Here is a 21,065-nt window from a genome sequence, read left to right as displayed (position 1 = left end):
GGTTTAAAAAAAAAGTTGCATTCTGACTTTTGCCCAGGATGCCCTCCCTAAATAAAACCAGCTAGAAAGTTCCCTTCTGTTACCCACCACCTGGGTGCCTGGCTTCTATCCCCTTCTTTTATATATTTCTCTCAGTGAAAGTCCTGTCCTCAGGCTACACACTGGACTTTGGGTGGAGGGGACATTTATTTCCTAGGGATTTTGAAGCCTTTCCACTCCTCCCTTTGGAGAGGACAGAGAGAGTTGCCTGGCTGCTAATGGGAGAATGGGGACCCCAAAATCCTCTGAAAGCAAGTAAGATCGTGTGTTCCTCCATTTAAATCTTATGCAGTTTATACCTCCTTGAGCTTTTAAGAATAACAGACACGAGTCTTCTACGACCGTACACTTCTCAGCTTCGTCTTTAGAGGCTTTGGTTCTTCTCTATGTGTGTCCTTACTGAGGTTGACTCCGCAGATTGTCTCCACTCTAGACCACTAGGATGCTGATCAGATTCATGTTTTATCTGATCTCTCCCTTGACCTCCAAGCTCTTATTTCCTGCAGTCCTGAAACTTCCTTTCACCCTTCCTGTCCTGCCCTTGGTCTCCTCGGAGGTCTGCTGGGGAGGTGCTCTCCTCTGAGGAAGGAAGGCTTCTCAATGGTTAAGATAACTTTTCTTTAAAGATATACCCGATCTGCCTTTGCGGACCCAGCTGTCAAGGGCTGCACCGTGCCTGGATATGAGCTGTATTTGCCGAGATGTAGCATGAAGGTGAGTTGGGGAGGATGTGGGGGCAGCGTGAGGAGGAAGCAGGAATGGAGGAGCAGGAGACTCTAGATGAACACCCTAGATTTGATTTCTGTCTCTGCCCCAGGCCTCTGACCAGTTGGATCCAACATCTGGATGTAAGCTGATAAAAAGAAATGAAAAAAGGAGCTCATAATCCAGACATTTGGTTTGCATGCCAGTGAACATCTGGACACCGGAAAATATCTGGTTTGGGAACTATGATTTTCAGTTTCCTTCAAATTTTTGGAAACCCGTAGTCATATTGGATTGCCTGAAGAACTTAAACACGTCTTTAACTCTTGAACATCTTTAGAGGATCATTATCAAGCTAATTCATACTTTTCAAGGCTTCACAGCAGGTAAAGGAAAAATCCACAGTCCAAGAGATTCAGATCACTGAGTGTGGCTGGGGAAGACATGATCTCTATTTACTTCAGAGGACAAAGAGAATTCTCTAGAGAGCATTCTTCCCCTTCTCTCCCCACCCCCACCACTCAGGATATGTATTGGAACAACCTCTCCTTTGTCCATCTGGCAAATGAAATCCCAGACAGACTGGTGCTTGGATACCATGGCGGCGATGAAGCCTGAGCTCGTTGACTTTAATAAGCTCTGCTTTATTGGCAATCCAGTAACCACCTAAGGAGCTGGTCCAGGAAATGAGGCAGGATCCAGGCCACTCTGGGCTCCGCGCAGCCTTCTTTTTCCAGGAAACTGCTTGTCTTGGCTTTGGAGTGGCTTTCCCAGCCCATCTCTGACCTGACGCAGAACATAATCATTAGCTCCCTTGCCCAAATCTTCGGTTCTGCTGTAACAGCATGATTCTTCTCCTCCTCTGGGAGGAGGCCATGGTGGGATAGAGATGACCTTGTCCAAATGGTCTTGGGAAGTTTGGGCCCAGCCGGAAGATGCTAAGAAGGTCTGACTCTGATGGGCAACATCTTCCGAAATGCCAGTTGAATGGCTCTGTAGAGGCCCGCAGCTTCTTAGTTCTCTCTCCTACTAATTCCTCTCAGAATCCTCAGAACAACCGATGACATTGTTATAATTTTTCTCATTTTGCAGGCAAAGAGACTGGGGCTCAGGGAAGTCACACACAATCGGCCTAAAGTCACGTAGCTATTTAGCACTAGAATTGGGGTCTGAACCCAGACTGCCTGATTTGAAGTCTTCTGCTCTCCATTCTACCCTGAGGTGCACAATATTCACTATAGAGACAGGACCAGCCTTCATGAGGCAGCAGTCAATACCTAAATGCGAGAGGAAAAAGAGAAGTGAGTTGGGGTAGTCATGGGAGGCTTTCATGAGGAGGTGCTACTTGGGCCTCAAAGGAAAAGCAGGATTTGGCTAGAGGAAGGGGAAGGCATTTCAGCCAGTGAATGGCATGAGCAAAAAATGTAGGCAAAAAGGGGCATGGCCAGTTCACAGCCCAACAGGAGAGTGGGTTGCCTAACTGGTATTCTCTTTTTTTATGCTTAATTGGTATTATTGCCTAATTGATATTCTTCTTTAATACTTGAGTTTTATTTGAAATGCTCCTTTTCTATAAAATCTTCTAAATATTTAACAAATAATTTGGAACTTTCGACAGCATTCTAAATATAAACTTTTAAATACTCCTTCTAAACAACAATATTCTTTCTAAAAATGAAAATGTGTATGAAATAGATTTTTTCCAAGCCAGAACAGATATTCCCTTGCTTGAAATGCTATTTCTTTTCAATTATTGGTATTCTGATTCCAAATAATAACCAGAAATGGGAGGAACTGAAAAATCCACAAATGGGCCCCATAGAAAAGAGTTGGCCTTTGGCTACATCTGGAGAGCTCCAACACCTGATTAAAACTATAACAGACACAGGATCTTTTCTTGCCCTGTATTTCTCCTTGATCTCTCTCACTTCAACACTAGCGGAGCCAGATGCAATACAGAAAATAAAGGGGAGCTGCCTGCAGTAGTCCCAGCTACTCATGAAGCTGAGGCAAGAGGATCGCTTGAGCCCAGGAGTTGAGTCTAGCCTGGGCAATGTAGCGAGACTCTAGCTCTAAAAATAAATAAAAAAGAAAAAGGGAGACAGGGGAGAAGAAAAGAGTAAGGAGGGGAAATAGCAAAGAAGCTAACCAAGACCCCCAAGAGCCCCTCTTTCTACCATAGATATAGATAGGCCCTGAGATAAGTCCAAGTTTGGGAGGGCAAAAGATTAGATTGGACAAGAGTTCAGAGGATTGATGTTAATACGAACAAACACACATGCACATATTTATAACTGAAAGGGATTGAAAAGGCTATGAATCTGCCTGAAATTTCATCTAGAAGAATGAAGCCACAGGCCCGATTGAAAGGGATAGTCGTGAGAAAGAATGAAATTGCTTTCTGCTTGCCCTCTTGTGAGTTTGGCTTGTTTAAAATCAGAGAGGCAGAGAATTCCACTCCAGGAATACAGAGGAGCTGTACTTCTCCCTATTCCTCCTCCTAAATACAGCTAAGAACTCTGGACATTGTCTATAAAACAGACATTAGAAGACTAGGAAAGATACAAAGATGGCAGACAGGCTATGGACCTGGGCTGAGGAAAACATGGTGGTGCATTCTCTCGATTTTATTACGGTGTCATATATCCAAGGCTTGGAGCAGCAACCTAGAAATGCCAATGGGTTCAGACGGGAGGAGAAGAATAAGAAGGAGAAAGAGGAGCCTGAAAAAAAGCCTGCTCTCACTAGACAAAGGACTAGGAAAGGGACAGCCCAGCAAGACAGAAAACTTTGAAGACAATAACAGTTCCGCGCCAATCAAACGCTACAGAAAAAAACTGGTCCCACTCACACCAGCAAAGGTTGAGGGAGAAGCTGAGACTTTCACGCTTTTGAAGGCGAAGCTGTAACAAGGCCCCCCGGCACCTCTACTGGGTGGTGTCAGAGGAGGCCATGTAGAGATCAGGGACTTTTATCCTTGCAGGCCTGTACCCATGTCCCTGGGTCCCACCCCCACCTCCTCAGTGTCAACCTGTGTCAGTGGAGACTACATCGGAAACCTACTCTTCACCTAGAAGCAACGAGATGTCCTTCTCCCTTTCCACTAGAGTAGAGACCTAGTAAAGAGGCAGGACTTTCACCATTACGTAGTAGTAACAAGCCTATCCCCACCATGATATCAGCAGAAACCATGTGGGGAGGCAGAACGCCCACCCCTGACCAGCAGTAATGAGAAACACCCACTCCTTGAAGTGTCAATGGAGGCCAAGTGGAGAAGCTGGACTTCTACCACCACTTGGCAATAAAGAAGTAACAGTCCCCCACCCTTCCTCTGTAGGAGCAGTTTCAGAGAAAACCAGCTAAGACTGAAGACTTAAATAAGATCCAGAGCCTATAAAATAATATGAGATATCTAGGTATCAACTGAAAATCACTCATGTTACCAAGAATCAGAAAAATCTCAAACTGATTTTAAAAAGACAATCAACAATACAAAGATACCAGATGTTAACATTATCTGACAAAGATTTTAAAGCAGCCATCAGAGAGATGCTTCAACAAATAATTAAGAACACATTTGAAACAAAGCAAAAAAAATAGAAAGTATTAGTAAAGAAACAGAAAATATAAAGAAGAGCTAAATGGAATGTTTAAACCTGAAAAACATAATAACCGAAGTAAAAAAACCTCAGTAAATGGACTAAACAGTAGAATGGAGGGGACAGAGGAAAGAACAAGTGAACCTGAAAATAGAATAATTAAAAATCACCCAATCTGAGAAACAGAGAGAAAACAGTTTGAAGAAAATGAAAAAAGCCACAGGGACCTGTGGAACTAGATGAAAAGATCTAAAATTCATGTCATCAGAATCCTGGAAGAAATGAGAAAGAGGGCACAGCTAAAAAAAGTACTCAAAAAGTAATGGCTGGCGGAGCGCAGTGGCTCACGCCTATAATCCCAGCACTTTGGGAGGCTGAGGTGGGTGGATCATTTGAGGTCAGGAGTTTGAGACCAGCCTAGCCAACATGGTGAAACCCCGTCTCTAATAAAAATGCAAAAATTAGCCAGGTGTGGTGGCAGGTGCCTGTAGTCCCAGTTGTTCAGGAAGCTGAGGCTGGAGAATCGCTTGAATCCAGGAGGCAGGGGTTGCAGTGAGCCGAGATCGCGCCATCGCACTCCAGTCTGGGTGGCAGAGCAAGGCACCATCTCAAAAAGAAAAAAAAAAAATAGAAAAAAGTAATGGCTTAAAACTCCCCAAATTTGGCAAAAAAGAGCCCCATTAGCCTACAGATTCAATAAGCTGAGTGAACAAGATAACACATCAAAACAGGATAAACTCAAGAAATACCAAGATATATTAAAGCCAAATTTCTAAATATTAAAGGCAGGCCGGGCATGATGGCTCATGTCTGTAATCCCAGTAATTTGGAAGGCTGAGGCAAGAGGATCATTTGAGTCCAGGAGTTCAAGACCAGTCTGGATAACAGTGAGACCCTGTTTCTATAAAATTTAAAACATTTTTTTAAAAAAAGTAAAGGCAAAGAAAACTCTTGAAAGCAGCAAGACGGAAATGAACCTTACCTGTAGAGAAAAATAATTCAAACAACAGCAAATTTTTTAAAAGAAACCATGGGGGTCAGAAGGAAATAGCCAATATTTTCAAGTGCTGAAAGAAAAAAAAAATAGTCAACCCAGAATTCTATTGCCTGTGAAATTATATTTCAGGAATAAAGGGTAAAGCACAATAAATTTCTCTAAAAAGAAAGAAAACAAACATCAGGAAGGGAGAAAGAACACAGTGAGCAAAGACATGGTTAAATATAAAACACTTTTCTTCTTCTTTTTTTTTATTATACTTTAAGTTTTGGGGTACATGTGCAGAATGTGCAGGTTTGTTACATAGGTATATACATGCCATGGTGATTTGCTGCACCCATCAACCCGTCATCTACATTAAGTATTTCTCCTAATGCTATCCCTCCCCCAGCCCCCCACCCCACAACAGACCCTGGTGTGTGATTGCCCCTCCCCATCCACGTATTCTCATTGTTCAAAAACACTTTTCTTCTTCTTCTTCCCCATCCCTTCCTTTCCCCTTCCGCCTCCTCCTCCTCCTCCCCCTTCCTCCTCCTTCTCTTCTTCCTCCTCCTCCTCCTCAATACAGGGTCTCACTCTGCCACCCAGACTAGAGGGCAGTGGCACAATCTTGGATCACTGCAACCTCCATCTCCCAGGTTCAAGCTATTCTCATGCCTCAGTCTCCTGAGTAGCTGGGATTACAGGTGCCCACCACCACACCTGGCTAATTTTTGTATTTTTAGTAGAGATGGGGTTTCACCATGTTAGGCAGGATGGTCTCGATCTCCTGACCTCGTGATCTGCCCGCCTCGGCCTCCCAAAGTGCTGGGATTACAGGTGTGAGCCACCATGCCCAGCCTCCTTTTCTTCTTTTTCTTTTCTTTTTTTTAGACTGAGTCTTGTTCTATCACCCAGGCTGGACTGCAGTGGCAGGATCTTGGCTCACTGCAACCTCTACCTCCCAAGTTCAAACGATCCTCGTGCCCCAGTCTCCTGAGTAGCTGGGACTATAGGCGCCCACCACCGTGCCTGGCTAATTTTTTTGTATTTTTAGTAGAGACGGGATTTTGCCATGTTGGCCAGGCTAGTCTTCAACTCCTGATCTCAAGTGGTCTGCCTGCCTTGGCCTCCCAAAGTGCAGGGATTACAGGCATGAGCCACCTCATCTGGCCTCCTTTTCTTCTTGAGTTTTCTTTCTTTCTTTTCTTTCTTTTTCTTTTCTTTTCTTCTTTTTTTTTTTTTTGAGACAGAGTCTCACTCTCTAGCCAGGCTGGAGTGCAGTGGTGTGATCTTGGCTCACTGCAACTCTGCCTCCCGGGTTCAAGTTATTCTCCTGCCTCAGCCTCCCAGGTAGCTGGGACCACAGGCGTGCGCCACCATGCCCAGCTGTTTTTGTATTTTAGTAGAGACGGGGTTTCACCATGTTGGCCAGGATGGTCTCGATCTCCTGACCTCGTGATCCACCCACCCTGGCCTCCCAAAGTGCTGGGACTACAGGCATGAGACACTGCACCTGGCCCCTTCTTGAGTTTTCTAAATTATTTTTGATAGTTGAAGCAAAAATTACAATACAGTCTGTTGTGGTTCTAAAAATATGCAGAGGAAATATTTAAGGCAATCATATTATAAATGGAGGCTGGCAAAGGGATGTAAAGAGAAGTAATATTTCTTTTTTTTTCTTTTTGAGGCAGGGTCTCAGTCTGTTGCCCAGGCTGGAGTGTAATGGCATGATAATGGCTCACTGCAGTCTCGACTTTCTAGACTTAAGTGATCCTCCCACCACAGCCTCCCAAGTAGCTGGGACTACAGGCACACCATCACAACCTGCTAATTTTTAAATTTTTTAGAGACTTGTTCTCGCTATGTTGCCCAGGCTAGTCTTGAACTCCTACGTCCAAAGGATCCTCCCACCTGGGCCTCCCAAAGTGCTAGAATCACAGGCGTGAGTCACCACGCCCAGCTTGGGAGGTAAGGTTTCTATATTTCACTTTAACTGGTAAAACCAGTACACTGTATTAAGCCATGTACATACAATGTAATACCTAGATAAGTCACTAAAAAAGTTACGTGTAGGCCAGGTTTGGTGGCTCATGTCTGTAATCCCAGTACTTTGAGAAGCCGAGGCGGGTGGATCATGTGAGGCCTGTAGTTTGAGCCCAGCCTGGCTAACATCTCTACTAAAAATACAAAAATTAGCCTGTCGTGGTGGTGCATGCCTATAATCCCAGCTACTTGAGTGGCTGAGGCATTAGAGTCACTTGAACCCAGGAGGCAGAAGCTGCAGTGAACTGAGATCATGCCATTGCACTCCAGCTTGGGCGACAGAGTGAGACTGCCTCTAAAAAAAAAAAAGTTACATGTAAAGAAATATCCCCAAATACTACAGATAAATAAAAAGATGATTCTAATGAAAATGTTCAAGTAGCCCACAGGAAGGCAGGGAAAAGAAAATAGAAAAATGAAAAGTGGGCCTGGCACGGTGGCTCCCGCCTATAATCCCAGAACTTTGGGAGGCCGAGGCAGGCAGATCACTTGAGCTCAGAAGTTCAAGACCAGCCTGGTCAACATTGAAACCACGTCTCTACTAAAAATACAAAAACTAGCCAGGTGTGGTGGCAGGTGCCTGTGATCCAGGCTACTCAGGAGGCTGAGGCACAAGAATCACTTGAACCCGGGAGGCGGAGGTTGCAGTGAGCCGAGATCATGCCACTGCGTTCCAGCCTGGGAAATAGACAAAGACTCCATCTCAGGAAAAAAAAAAGGAGAGAAAAACATAAAACAAAAAATAAAACAGCAGGCTTATTCCCTAACATATCAATAGTTATATTGAATGTAAATGGTCTAAATGCAAAAGATTGATATCTATTTAAAAGCAATTGATAGAGTGGATTAAAAAACATGACCTAACTAGATGTGGTGCATAAAGTCATTGTAAGTATAGCAATAAAGGTAGGTTGGAAGTAAAAAGATGAAAAAAGATAGGAAAGATAGGTTATGTAAACATTAAACAAAAGAAAGCAGGAGAGTAGCTATACATATATATATTGTGCATGTATATATGTCAGATAAAGTGGGCTTCAGAGCAAAGAAACTTTTCTAGAGACAGAGACATTGTACAATGATACAAGAGCCAATCTAGTGAGAAAACAAATCATCCTAAATGTGTATGCACCAAACAACAGAACTGCAGTCCATATGAAGCCAAAACTGATAGAACTGAAAGGAGAGATAGAAAAATCGGCAACTGGGGCTGAAGACTTCAATCCTCCTTTCTTAACAATTGATACGACAGCTAGACAGAAAATCAACAAGGATATAGAAGAGTTCAACAAAATCATCAACCAACAAGATCTAATGAATATTTATAGAACACTTCACCCAACAACAGCAAAATGTTCATTCTTTTCGACTACTCAGGTAACACATTTCAAAATAGACCATATCCTGGGCCATAAAACAAACAGATGTAAAACAACTGAATTAATACCAAGTGTGTTCTCTGACCACAATGGAATCAAACTAGAAATCAATAACAAAAAGATAACAGAAAAATTTCCAAATGCTTGGAAACTAAACAACACACTTCTAAGTACTCCATGGACGAAAAAGGGAAGTCTCAAGAGAAATTATATATGTGTATATATAAAATATTTTATATATACAATATTATATATACATCTATATATTGTATGTGTATATATAATACATGTATAAAAATACACATATATGTATATGTATTGCATGTATTATATATTATATAATAGTATAATACATAATATATACTACTACTATTATATAATAGTATAATATTATACTATTATAATATATTATACTATTATATAATACATATAAAAATATACATTTATATATTTATTCATTTTTAGAGATGGGCTCTCGCTCTGTTGCCTAGGCTGGAATGCAGTGGCGCTATCACAGCTCACTGCAGCCTCAACCTCCCGAGTAGCTAGGACTACAAGATCACACTACCACGCTTGGCTAATTTTTGGATTTTTTTGTAGAGATGGGGTCTCCCTGTGTTGCCCAGGTTGGTCTCCAACTCCTGCACTCATGTGATTCACCCGCCTCTGCCTCCCAAAGTGCTGATATTACAGGTGTGAGTCACTGCACCTGGCCAAGGGAAATTGTAAAATACACTGAAGCGAGTGAAATGAAAATATAATGTAACAAAATCTGTGGGACACAGATGAAGAAAATGTATAGCATTAAATGCACATATTAGGACAGTAGAGGCCCAGGTATGGTAACTCATGCCTGTAATCCTAGTATTTTGGGGGGCCAAGGTGGACAGATCGCTTGATCCCAGGAGTTCGAGAGCAGCCTGGGCAACATGGCGAAACTCCAGCTGTACAAAAACACACACACAAAAAAACAACAACAAACAAACAAACCCAAATACAAAAATTAGCCAGGTATGGTGGCGTGTCCCTGTGGTCTCAGTTACTCAGGAGGCTGAGGTGGGAGGATCACTTGAGCTGGGGAGATCAAGGCTACAGTGAGCTGAGATTGTGCCACTGCACTCCAGCCTGGGTGACAGAGCGAGATCCTGTGTCAAAAAGAAAGAAAGGAAAAAAGAAAATAAATGAAAAGTAGAAAAGTCTTTATCAAATCAATGATCTAAGCTCATACCTCAAGAACTTGGGAAAAATATAAATCCAAAGCCAACAGAAGGAAGGAAATAATAAGATAAGAGCAGGGCTGAGCATGGTGGCTCACACCTGTAATCCCAACACTCTGGGAGACCAAGGTGGCAGAATTGCTTGAGCTCAGGAGTTTGAGAGCAGCCTGGGCAACATAATGAGACCCTATTTCTGAAAAACGTTAAAAATTAAAAATTTACCTATCATGGTGGTACACAACTGTGGTTCCAGCTACTTGGGAGGCTAAGGTGGGAGGCTCAGTTGAGCTGAGGAGCTGGAAGCTGCAGTGAGCTATGATCATGCCACTGCACTCCAGCCTGGGCGGCAGAGAAAGACCCTGTCTCCAAAAAAAAAAAAAAAAAAAAGGCAGAAATCCATGAAATTGAAAATAAAAAAAGAAACAGAAAACTGAAAAGAAAAGGAGAAAACCAACGAAACAAGGAGCTAATTATTTGAAAAGATCAATAAATCTCTAGCAAGACTGACAAATTTTAAAAGAGGAGAAATACATTAGCAATGAAAGAAAAGATATCACATGGACCCTGTAGGCATCAAAAGGATAATAGGGAAACACCGTGGGACTTAATAATAGGGAAATAAAATGAAATAGAGAATTATGACCGGGCACGGTGGCTCATGCCTGTAATCCCAGCACTTTGGGAGGCAGAGGCTGGCGGATCACGAGGTCAGGAGATCAAGACCATCCTGGCTAACACGGTGAAACCCCGTCTCTACTAAAAATACAAAAAATTAGCCAGGCGTGGTGGCGGGCGTCTGTAGTCCTGGCTACTCGGGAGGCTGAGGCAGGAGAATGGCGTGAACCCGGGAGGCGGAGCTTGCAGTGAGCCAAGATGGCGCCGCTGCACTCCAGCCTGGGCGACAGAGCGAGACTCAAAAAAAAAAAAAAAAAAATGAAAGAAATAGAGAATTATGTTTGGAGGCCATTAGTCAGCCTCAGTAGACCTCCAAAGCGTTAATTAGGTCCTAATCCCTGGAACCTGTAAATATTACCTTATATGGAAAAAGAGCGTTTGTAGATGCGATTAAGGATTTTGAGATGAGATTATCCTAGTAGACCTTAAGTGCAATGACAAATGTCTTTATAAGAGAGTAACAGAGGGAGTTGTGGACAAAAGAGAAGGGAATGCAACCATGGAGGCAGAGATTGAAGCAATGTGGCCACAAGCCAAGGAATGTTGGTTGCCACCAGAAACTTGAAGAGGCAAAAAATGAATTCTTCTATAGAGCTTCTGAAAAGTGTGTGGTCCTGCCAATGCCTTGATTTGACCATTGATGCTGATTTTGAACTTCTGGCCTCCATAACTGTGAGAGAATAAATTTCTGTTGTTCAAGTTATTAAGTTGTGTTAATTTGTTGCAGCAGCCCCAAGAAATTAATATCCTCCAAAAAATCTCTACATGCATAAATTTGGCAACTTAAATAAAATAAACCAATTCCCCTCAAAACACAAACTACCTAACTCATCCAGTATGAGTTTATATGTGTAGAGGTTTTTTTTTTAGGGTATTAGTTTAAATTAGTTTAATTTTAGGGTATTAGTTTAATTTGAATAGCCCTATAACTATTAAGAAAATTGAATTTGTAATAAAACCATCCTCCCTCCCTCTCAATATTTCCTGATCCAGATGGTTTCACTGGAGAATTCTACCACTTAAAGAAGAATTTAATTCTTCACAATCTCTTCCAGAGAACAGAAGAGAGAAAATGTTTTCCAATTAATTTTATAAGGTTAATATTATCAAAACCAGATGAGGACAGTAGAACAAAAAGAAAACTATAGACCAATATCCTGCATGAATATACAAGCAAAAATCCTTAACAAAATAGTAGCAAATGGACTCCAGCAATATATAAAAAGAATTATACAGTTGCATTTCAGGGATGCAAGGCTGATTCAATATCCAAAAATTGATCAATGTAATCCACCATGTTAACAGTATAAAGAGGAAAATCCATATAGTCATAGCAATGATGAAGAAAAGACATTTGACGGAATTCAACACCCATTTAATAATTAAAAAAAAAAAAAAACCTGACTTGGTGTGATGTAATCCCAGCACTTTGGGAGGCTGAGGCCGGCAGATCACCAGAGGTCAGGAGTTCGAGACCAGCCTGACCAACATGGAGAAACACCATCTCTACTAAAAATGCAAAATTAGCCGGGTGTGGTGGCGCATGCCTGTAATCCCAGCTACTCAGGAGGCTGAGGCAGGAGAATCTCTTGAACCCATGAGGCAGAGGTTATAGTGAGTGAAGATCGTGCCATTGTACTCCAGCCTGGGCCACAAGAGCGAAATTTCGTCTCAAAAAACAAAAACCAAACAAACAAACAAAAACACCTGTAAGAAAAAATAGGAATAGAGGGGAATGTCCTTAACTTGATAAGCAGCAACTATGAAAAACCCACTAACATTATACTTAATGGTAAAAGACTGAATGCTTTGCCCCTAATAGTGGGAATAAAGCACCAATTTTATTCAACATAGTGCTGGTAGCTCTAGTCTGTGCAATAAGAGAAGGAAATAAAAGATTGGCAATGAAGAGGCAAAACTCTTCCTATTTGCAGATGACGTGATTATATATATAGAAAATCTCAAAGAGTCTACAAAAACAAACAAACAAACCCCCTAGAAATAAGTGAATTCAGGAATGTCACAGGATACAAGATAAACATGTAGGCTGGGTGTGGTGGCTCATGCCTATAGTCCCAGCACTTTGGGAAACTCCATCTCTACAAAAAAAAAAAAAGAAAAAACCCAAATACAAAAATTGGCCAGTTGTGGTGGCACATGTTTGTAATCCCAGCTACTTCAGAGGCTGAGGCAGGAGAATTGCTTGAGCCTGGGAGATCAAGGCTGCAAGAGCTGTGATTGTGCCACTGTACTTCAGCCTGCGTGACAGAGCGAGACCCTGTCTCAAAAAAAGAAAAAAAAAAAAAAGAAAACCTTTCAGAAAAAAAAATAGAAGAAAATCTTCAAGGTCTAGGACTAAGCAAACAGCTCTTAAAGTTGACACCAAAGTACAATCCATAAAAGGAAAATCGATAAATTAGACATTATCAAAACTTAAAACTTTTGTGAAATAATCTGTAAAAAGACAAAAAGATGAGCTAGAGAGGAGAAAATATTTGCAAACCATTTATCCAACAAAAGACTAGTAAATAGAATATTAAAGAACTCTAAAAATGCAACAATAAAAACACAAACAATCTAATTAGAAAATGGGCAAAAGACATGAAGAGAACATTTCACAAAAGTGGAAATACAGATGGCAAATAAGCACATGAAAGAGATTCAGTGTCATTGTCAATAGGGAAATGCAAAATAAAACCATAATGAGATATGGCTACACACCTATCAGAATGCTAACATTTTTAAAAGTGACAATACCAAATGTTGGTGAGGATGTGGAGAAACTAAGTCACTCACACATTGATGGTGGAAATGTAAAATGATACAGCCACTTTAGAAATGGTTTGGAAAATTTTGTATGTGTTTTGAGACAGGGTCTTTGTCGCCCAGGCTGGAGTGCAGTAGCGCAATCACCGCTCACTGCAACCTCTGCCTCCCAGGCTCAAGTGATCCTCCCACCCCAGCCTCCCAAGTAGCAAGGAACAACAGGCAGGCACCACCATGTGCAGCTAATTTTTTGTATGAGATGGGATTTTGCTATGTTGCCTAGGCTGGTCTTGAACTCCTGGGCTCAAGTGATCTGCCCACTTTGGCATCCCAAAGTGCTGGGATAATAGGTGTCAGCCACCATGCCCAGTCAGCAGTTTCTTAAAAAAACTAAACATGGAACTACCATATGGGCTCTTGGGAATTTATTCCAGAGAAATAAAAATTTATGTTCATAAAAAAGAATACATGAGTGTTTATAGTAAATCTATTCGTAATGGCCAAAAACTGGAAACAACTCAAATGTCCATCAATGGCTGAATGGTTAAACAAACTGTAGTACATCTGTACCATGGAATACTATATAGCAATAAAAAAGAATGAACTGTTGAACCATGCAACAAACTGGATGAATCTCCTGAGAATTATGCCGAGTGAAGAAAGTCAATCCCAAAAGGTTACATACTGCTTGATTCCATTATATATATAACACTCTTGAAAAAAAAATTATAGAAATGGAGAACAGATTAGTAGTTGCCAGGGGTTAAGCGGGGAGCAGGAGGCCAGGCACAGTGGCTCACACCTGTAATCCCAGCACTTGGGGAAGCCAAGGTGTGAGGACTGCTTGAGCCCAGGAGTTTGAGGTTAGCCTGGGCAACATAGGGAGACCCAACTCTAAAAATAATTTTTAGCCACGTCTACTGCGAGAATGAAGACCATTCTCAGCAATCAGACTGTCGACATTCCAGAAAATGTTGACATTACTCTGAAGGGATGCACAGTTATTGTGAAGGGCCCCAGAGGAACCCTGTGGAGGGACTTCAGTCACATCCATATAGAACTCAGTCTTCTTGGAAAGAAAAAACAGAGGCTCCAGGTTGACAAACGGTGGGGTAACAGAGAGGAACTGGCTGCCGTTCAGAATATTTGTAGTCATGTACAGAACACGATCAAGGGTGTTACACTGGGCCTCAGTTACAAGATGAGGTCTGTGTATGCTCACTTCCCCGTCAACACTGTTATCTAGGAGAATGGGTCTGTTGTTGAAATCCAAAATTTATTGGGTGAAAAATACATCCACGGGGTTCAGATGAGACCAGGTGTTGCTTGTTCAGTATCTCAAGCCCAGAAAGATGAATTCATCCTTGAAGGAAATGACATTGAGCTTGTTTCAAATTCAGCGGCTTTGATTCAGCAAGCCACAACAGTTAAAAACAAGGATATCAGGAAATTTTTGAACGGTATCTACGTCTCTGAAAAGGGAACTGTTCAGCAGGCTGATGAATAAGATTTGAGAGTTGTCCACCTACACAAACAAGATGCTGGATGATTCCTAAGACCTATTTGTGATATTTAAATGATACAATAAAAGACCTACTGATTTGGAAATAATAATAATAATAATTTCAAAAAATTAGGTGGGCATGGCGGCATGAGCCTGTGATCCCAGCTATACAGGAGGCTGAGGCAGGAGGATCGCCTGAGCCCAGGAGGTCAAGGCTGCCTTTAGCCATGATCGCACCACGTGATCACCAGCCTGGGTGACAGAATGATATCCTGTCTCAAAAAAAAAAAAAAGAAAGAAAGAAAAGAAAAGCAAGAAAGACAAACAAACAAAAGAGCAGGGAGCAGGAGCAGTAAGGAAATGGAGGAAATGCGGGCAGCTATAAAATGGAAACATGAGAGATCCTTATGGTGATGAAACTGTTCTATATCTTGACCTATCAGTGTCAGTATCCTGGTTGTGATATTGTGCTATTAGCCACGTCTACTGCGAGAATGAAGACCATTCTCAGCAATCAGACTGTTGACATTCCAGAAAATGTTAACATCACTCTGAAGGGATACACAGTTGTGAAGGGCCCCAGAGGAACCCTGTGGAGGGACTTCAATCACATCAATATAGAACTCAGTCTTCTTGGAGTTTTGCAACATGTTACCATTGGGAGAATGGCTATAGGGCACACTGGATCTCTGTACATGGGGTTTCTTTTTACAATTGCATGTGAACCTACAATTATCTCAAAATGAAAAGTTTAATTAAAAGACAAACCAGGGAAGCAGTTAATGACACGCATGCTGAGTGGTGGGATGAATAAACATGTGACAAAGCAAGTATTACAAATTGTCAAAGGAACAATGTAGGAGGTGGATATCGGATGTTTCCTGTAAAACTTTCAACTTTTCTGTATGTTGAAGTTTTTTCATAGTAAAATGTTTAAGAAATAAAAAAGAAGCCCAAATAGTGCAGGAGACTAAAGTAACCTGGAACTCCTGTTCCTCTAGGCCTCCTTTTACTTCTCAGCGGCTATCATTATTAATAATTTATTGTATACCTGTACAGACATTTTCTCTGAATTTGCAACCATGCTTAAAATCTTTTCTTAGGTTGGGCATGGTGGTTCACACCTGCAACCCCAGCACTTTGGGAGGCCGAGGTGGGTGAATCGCTTGAGGCCAGGAGTTTGAGACCAGCCTAGGCAACATGGCAAAACCCCATCTCTACAAGAAATACAAAAATTAGCTAGGCATGGTAGTGCAGAGCTGTGGTCCCAGCTACTTGGGAGGCTGAGGTGGGAGGATTGCTTGAGCTCAGTGGTTTGAGGCTTAGTGAGCTGAGATCAAGCCACTGCACTTCAGCCTGGGTGACAGAGTGAGACCCTGATTCAAACAAACAAACAAAAAAATATTTTCTTAAAACATCATATGATATTATACCTTCTGTTCTGCAAATTGTCTTTAATAACATGCTGAGGATACCTTTCTATGCAGTATGTAGAAACCTTGCTCTTTTAACTGCTATGTATATATTTTTTGGTGTCAATATGCCATTATTTATTTAACATTAAAGCTTCCTGCTAAACTTTTTCTCATAGAAATGATACATACACAAACACATAAAGTAGAATTCTTTATTTCTCCTACTCCTACCCCACTCCAAAAACGTAAGGGTATAGAGGTTGACAAGTGACCTAGGCCTAGCCAATCATATTCTATTGCCTGAAAGGAAAGATGGTCTTTTTATCTCAGATTGGGACAAAAAGGATGACATGAGCCTGGAGTTATGTGAAGCCAAAGGAAAGCAGAGCTGAGAAATGAAGGGAGGGAAAGAGGGTGAGAAGGAGAGAGGAAAGGACACAGAACCACTAAGGGCAAGCTAATGGGGTTGTCGAACCCTTGAATTCAATAGCACCTGAAGCTCCCTGAACGTTTCAGTTATGTCAGAAAACAAAGTCTATCCTTAATTCCTTTAACCTGCTTAGAGTTGCAACTCAGAACCCTGCCTAATATATAATAATATGTATTATATATGCAATCAAATATATGCACATATAGAAGAATATATTCTATTCTGTGTACCATCCCACTACCCAGCATTATTCAAGCTATCTGTAAACAAGATATTAAAATGGAAATTTCCAGCCAAGTATGGTGGTTCATGCCTGTAATCCCAGCACATTGGGAGGCCGAGGCGGTGGATCACCTAAGGTCAGGAGTTTGAGGCCAGCCTGGCCAACATGGTGAAACCCTGGTCTCTACTAAAAAATACAAAAATTAGCCAAGTGTGGTGGTGCATGCCTGTAGTCTCAGCTACTCGGGTGGCTGAGGCATGAAAATTGCTTGCAGTGAGCCAAGATCATGCCATTGCACTCCAGCCTGGGCGACAGAGCAAGACTTTGTCTCAAAAAATAAATAAATAGGCTGAGTGTGAGGGCTTACGCCTGTAATCTCAGCACTTTGAGAGGCCGAGGCAGATGGATCATCTGAGGTCAGGAGTTCGAGACCAGCCTGTCCAACATGGTGAAACCCTGTCTCTACTAAAAATATAAAAATTAGCCAGGCATGATGGCAGGCACCGGTAATCTCAGCTACTTGGGAGGCTGAGGCAGGAGAATCGCTTGAACCTGGGAGGTGGAGGTTTCAGTGAGTCAAGATCACGCCACTACACTCCAGCCTGGGCAACAGAGCGAGACTCTGTCTCAAAAATAAATAAATAAATACAATAAAAATAAATAAATAATAAAATGGAAATTTCCATTAAGCATTAATATACCTTAGTTGTAAAACAATGTGATGTGTGAAGTCACTATATGCAAACTTTCAAAAGAAATAACCTTAAGAATCTGTTATATGGGCCAGGTACAGTGGCTTATGCCTGTAATCCCAACACTTTGGGAGGCCAAGGCAGGAGGATTGCTTGAGTCCAGGAGTTCAAAACCAGCCTAGTCAACATCGAGAGACTTTGTCTCTCCCAAAAAAAAAAATCAGCTGGGCGTGGTGGCAAGCACCTGTAGTCCTAGCTACTGGGGAGGCTGAACTCAGGAATTTGAGGCTGCAGTGAGTCATGATCGCGCCACTGCACTCTAGGTTGGGTGACAAAGCGAGACCCTCCCTCAAAACAAACAAACAAACAAAAAACTGTTACATGACATTTGAACCTCCTCCCTTACCTCAAGAATATAAGTGGTCCTGAGTGGAGCTTTGTGAGGAGATTATCTATGGGAAGAGATAGTCCTGTGTTGTAAGCTCCCCTCCCAATGTTGGGGGGTACCAAACTCCCTGCCAGGAAGACTCAGGCAGAGGCACATTTTGTATGTCTGGGAGGATGTATGTTGCAGGCTAGGAAGCCACAAGGCAGATTGGAGTGGGACTGCCACCCCAGTCACAATGACTCTCTGACTGCTCCCCTTACCCACGGGTGACAGCCATTTTGAGCAGCGGGACCCTGTTCCTCTGGTCCCAGTTTGAATTAACTGGGACAGAATTCCTTCCTATAAAATGTATAATAGAGACAAAGAGGGGGAAAAAACCCCTCTTTGGGTAGCTGAATCCAGAATGTCGCATTCTTCCATTGAGATTTGGAGGGGGGAGGAGCTGGTCTGCAGAGACAGAAAAATGCATCAGACCTGAAGAAAAAAGAAGCAGAGATGAGAAGTCGATGACAACTTGTTCCATGAGAGGAGATCTGGATTGAATGCGTTCTATTTTCTTTTCATCAATTCCCCTTTTTTGTTCTAGCTATATATATGTATGTATATATGTGTGTGTGTGTATATATACATATGTGTATATATGTATGTGTGAGACCCTGTCTCAAAAATATATATATATACAGTCCCAGCCTGTAGTCCCAGCTCCTGGGGGAGGCTGAGCCCAGGAGTTCAAGGCTGCAGTGAGCTGTGTGTGTGTGTGTGTGTGTGTGTGTGTGTGTGTGTGTGTGTGTGTATATATATATATATATATAAATATGTATATATATAAATGTGTATATATAATATATAAATGTGCATATGTATAAATGCGTATATATATAAATTCATATATATATGAATTTCAAGGCTGCAGTGAGCCATGTGAGTGTATATATATATAAATGTGTATATATATAAAAATGTGTATTTATATATAACATATAATATATAAATGTGTATATATAAATGTGTATATATATATAAATTCATATAGATATGAATTTCAAGGCTACAGTGAGCCGTGTGTGTATATATATCTATAATATTTATATAATATATCTAAATATAAATGTATATATATAAATGTGTATATGTACATATGTATGTGTGAATACACACACATATATGTATTATTACGTACACACACACACACACACACACACACACACACACACACATATGGCTCACTGCAGCCTTGAACTCCTGGGCTCAGCCTCCGCCAGGAGGTGGGACTACAGGTTGGGACTGTATATATATATATTTTTGAGACAGGGTCTCACTCTGTCACCCAGGCTGGAGTGCAGTGGTGCAATCATAGCTCACTGCAGTCTCGACTTCCTGTGCTCAAGTGATCCTCCCACCTCAGCCTACCAAGCTGAAACTACATGTGCACGCTGTCAGGCCCAGCTAATTTTTTTGTATTTGTAGAGACGGGGCTTCTCCATGTTGCCCAGGCTGTTCTTGAACTCCTGGGTTCAAGCCATCTGCCCGCCTCAGCCTCCCACAGTGCTGGGATTACAGGCGTGAGCCACGACGCCTGGCTAAGCTATCTTGTTTTTCATACGATCCATGGGGTACATGTGAAATTTTATTACATGTATATAATACATAACAAAGAAGTCAGGGTTTTTAGGGTGTCCATCCTCCCAATACAATACATTTTTATTAACGGTAGTCACCTTACTCTGCTATCAAACATTGAATTTATGCCTTCTATCTAACTGTATGTTTGTACCCTTTAACCCACCTCTCTTCATCCTCCCCTCTGCCCCCAACTTGTTTAAGCTATCTTGAGTTGGTTTCTGGTGTTTCAACAAGATTCATAACTAATGCAACTGCTAACATTCCTCAATCATTTGTCAAATACCATTTGGCATATTCTGTTGTTCAATCATCTACTCTGCATCTACTCTCGGGTCTCCCTGAACTTCTCCACTCCGTCCATCCTCTTCCTCCTCCTCCACATTCGGGGACCCCTTCATAATTCAAGTCAGGCTTTCACATATGCTATCTGTGATCGTCCCAGGAATCCTGTGAGCTAGTTGTTGTTCCTATTTCAGTTCAACAGTCCTTTATCAAGTACCTACTAAGTGCCAGGAACCAAGCTGTAGAGTCCATTCTCCTGTTCTCCCATAGCACGAGTACACAATCCCTCTCTAAAATCTCTGGGGCTCAGCCAGGTGCGGTGGCTCATGCCTATAATCCCAGCACTTTGGGAGGCCAAGGCAGGTGGATCACCTGAGGTCAGGAGTTCGAGACCAGCCTGACCAACATGGTGAAACCCCATCTCTACTAAAAATACAAAAATTAGCCGGGCGTGTTGACGAGCACCTGTAATTCCAGCTACCCAGGAGGCTGAGGCAGGAGAATTGCTTGAACCCAGGAGGCAGAGGTTGCAGTGAGCCGAGATCGCGCCATTGCACTCCTGCCTGGGCGACAGAGAGAGACTCCATCTCAAAAATAAAATAAAATAAAATAAAATAAAATATCTGGGGCTGACGTACAGACTCACTCGAACATGCAGGCCTGGAGGCCCACATATCCATGCCTAATATATTTACGATATGTAAATCAAGTTAACAAGCTACTAAATAAGAACTGTCTTCTGAGTTGCGCATGGTGGCTCATGCCTATAATCTGAGCACTTTGAGGGGCTGAGACGGGATGATCACTTGAGCCCAGGAGTTCAAGAACAGCCTGGGCACCATAGTGAGACCCCCATCTCTTTGAAACTAAACAAACAAACAAATAAATAAATAAGAGCTGTGTTCTGTCCTATGTTGATAGATATAGCCAGGGTCAAATTTACAATTTTGGATAACTATATCTATCCCCTTTCTCTTTGCACACTCAATTCTATCCTTACCTTGAGTGGTCTCACGGGCACATGTGTGGACATTTTAGTTTGCACAACCAGCCTCTATCCATACCTGCTGCAAACAGCTGCTCTTTGGTTATGTCTTGGCCTTAAGAGT

At 41.9% G+C, this 21,065-nt stretch overlaps 1 long non-coding RNA gene and 1 pseudogene across 5 annotated transcripts in view; one reads left to right on the top strand and one right to left on the bottom strand.

Moving 5' to 3' along the window:
• The window catches only part of LINC02086 (long intergenic non-protein coding RNA 2086), a 64,720-nt gene that overhangs the window by 1,325 nt on the left and 42,330 nt on the right, over positions 1-21,065 (bottom strand). For 2 of the 5 annotated variants that reach the window (NR_189647.1, NR_189646.1), the window contains 2 exons: positions 5,326-5,410; positions 339-2,021 (listed from right to left, as the gene is read on the bottom strand). This is a non-coding gene — a long non-coding RNA (long intergenic non-protein coding RNA 2086). Of the gene's footprint in view, positions 1-338; positions 2,022-5,325; positions 5,411-18,069; positions 18,526-21,065 lie in introns of all 5 variants that reach the window. The other 3 variants (NR_189645.1, NR_189648.1, NR_189644.1) reach the window with 3 other exon arrangements.
• Positions 14,304-15,005, top strand: RPL9P28 (ribosomal protein L9 pseudogene 28; annotated as a pseudogene).

Source organism: Homo sapiens, chromosome 17 (assembly GCF_000001405.40).
Source record: "Homo sapiens chromosome 17, GRCh38.p14 Primary Assembly".
NCBI classification, from domain to species: Eukaryota; Metazoa; Chordata; class Mammalia; order Primates; family Hominidae; genus Homo; species Homo sapiens.
Note: the sequence above shows the minus strand (reverse complement) of the source record. Positions and strands in the feature narration are given on the sequence as shown.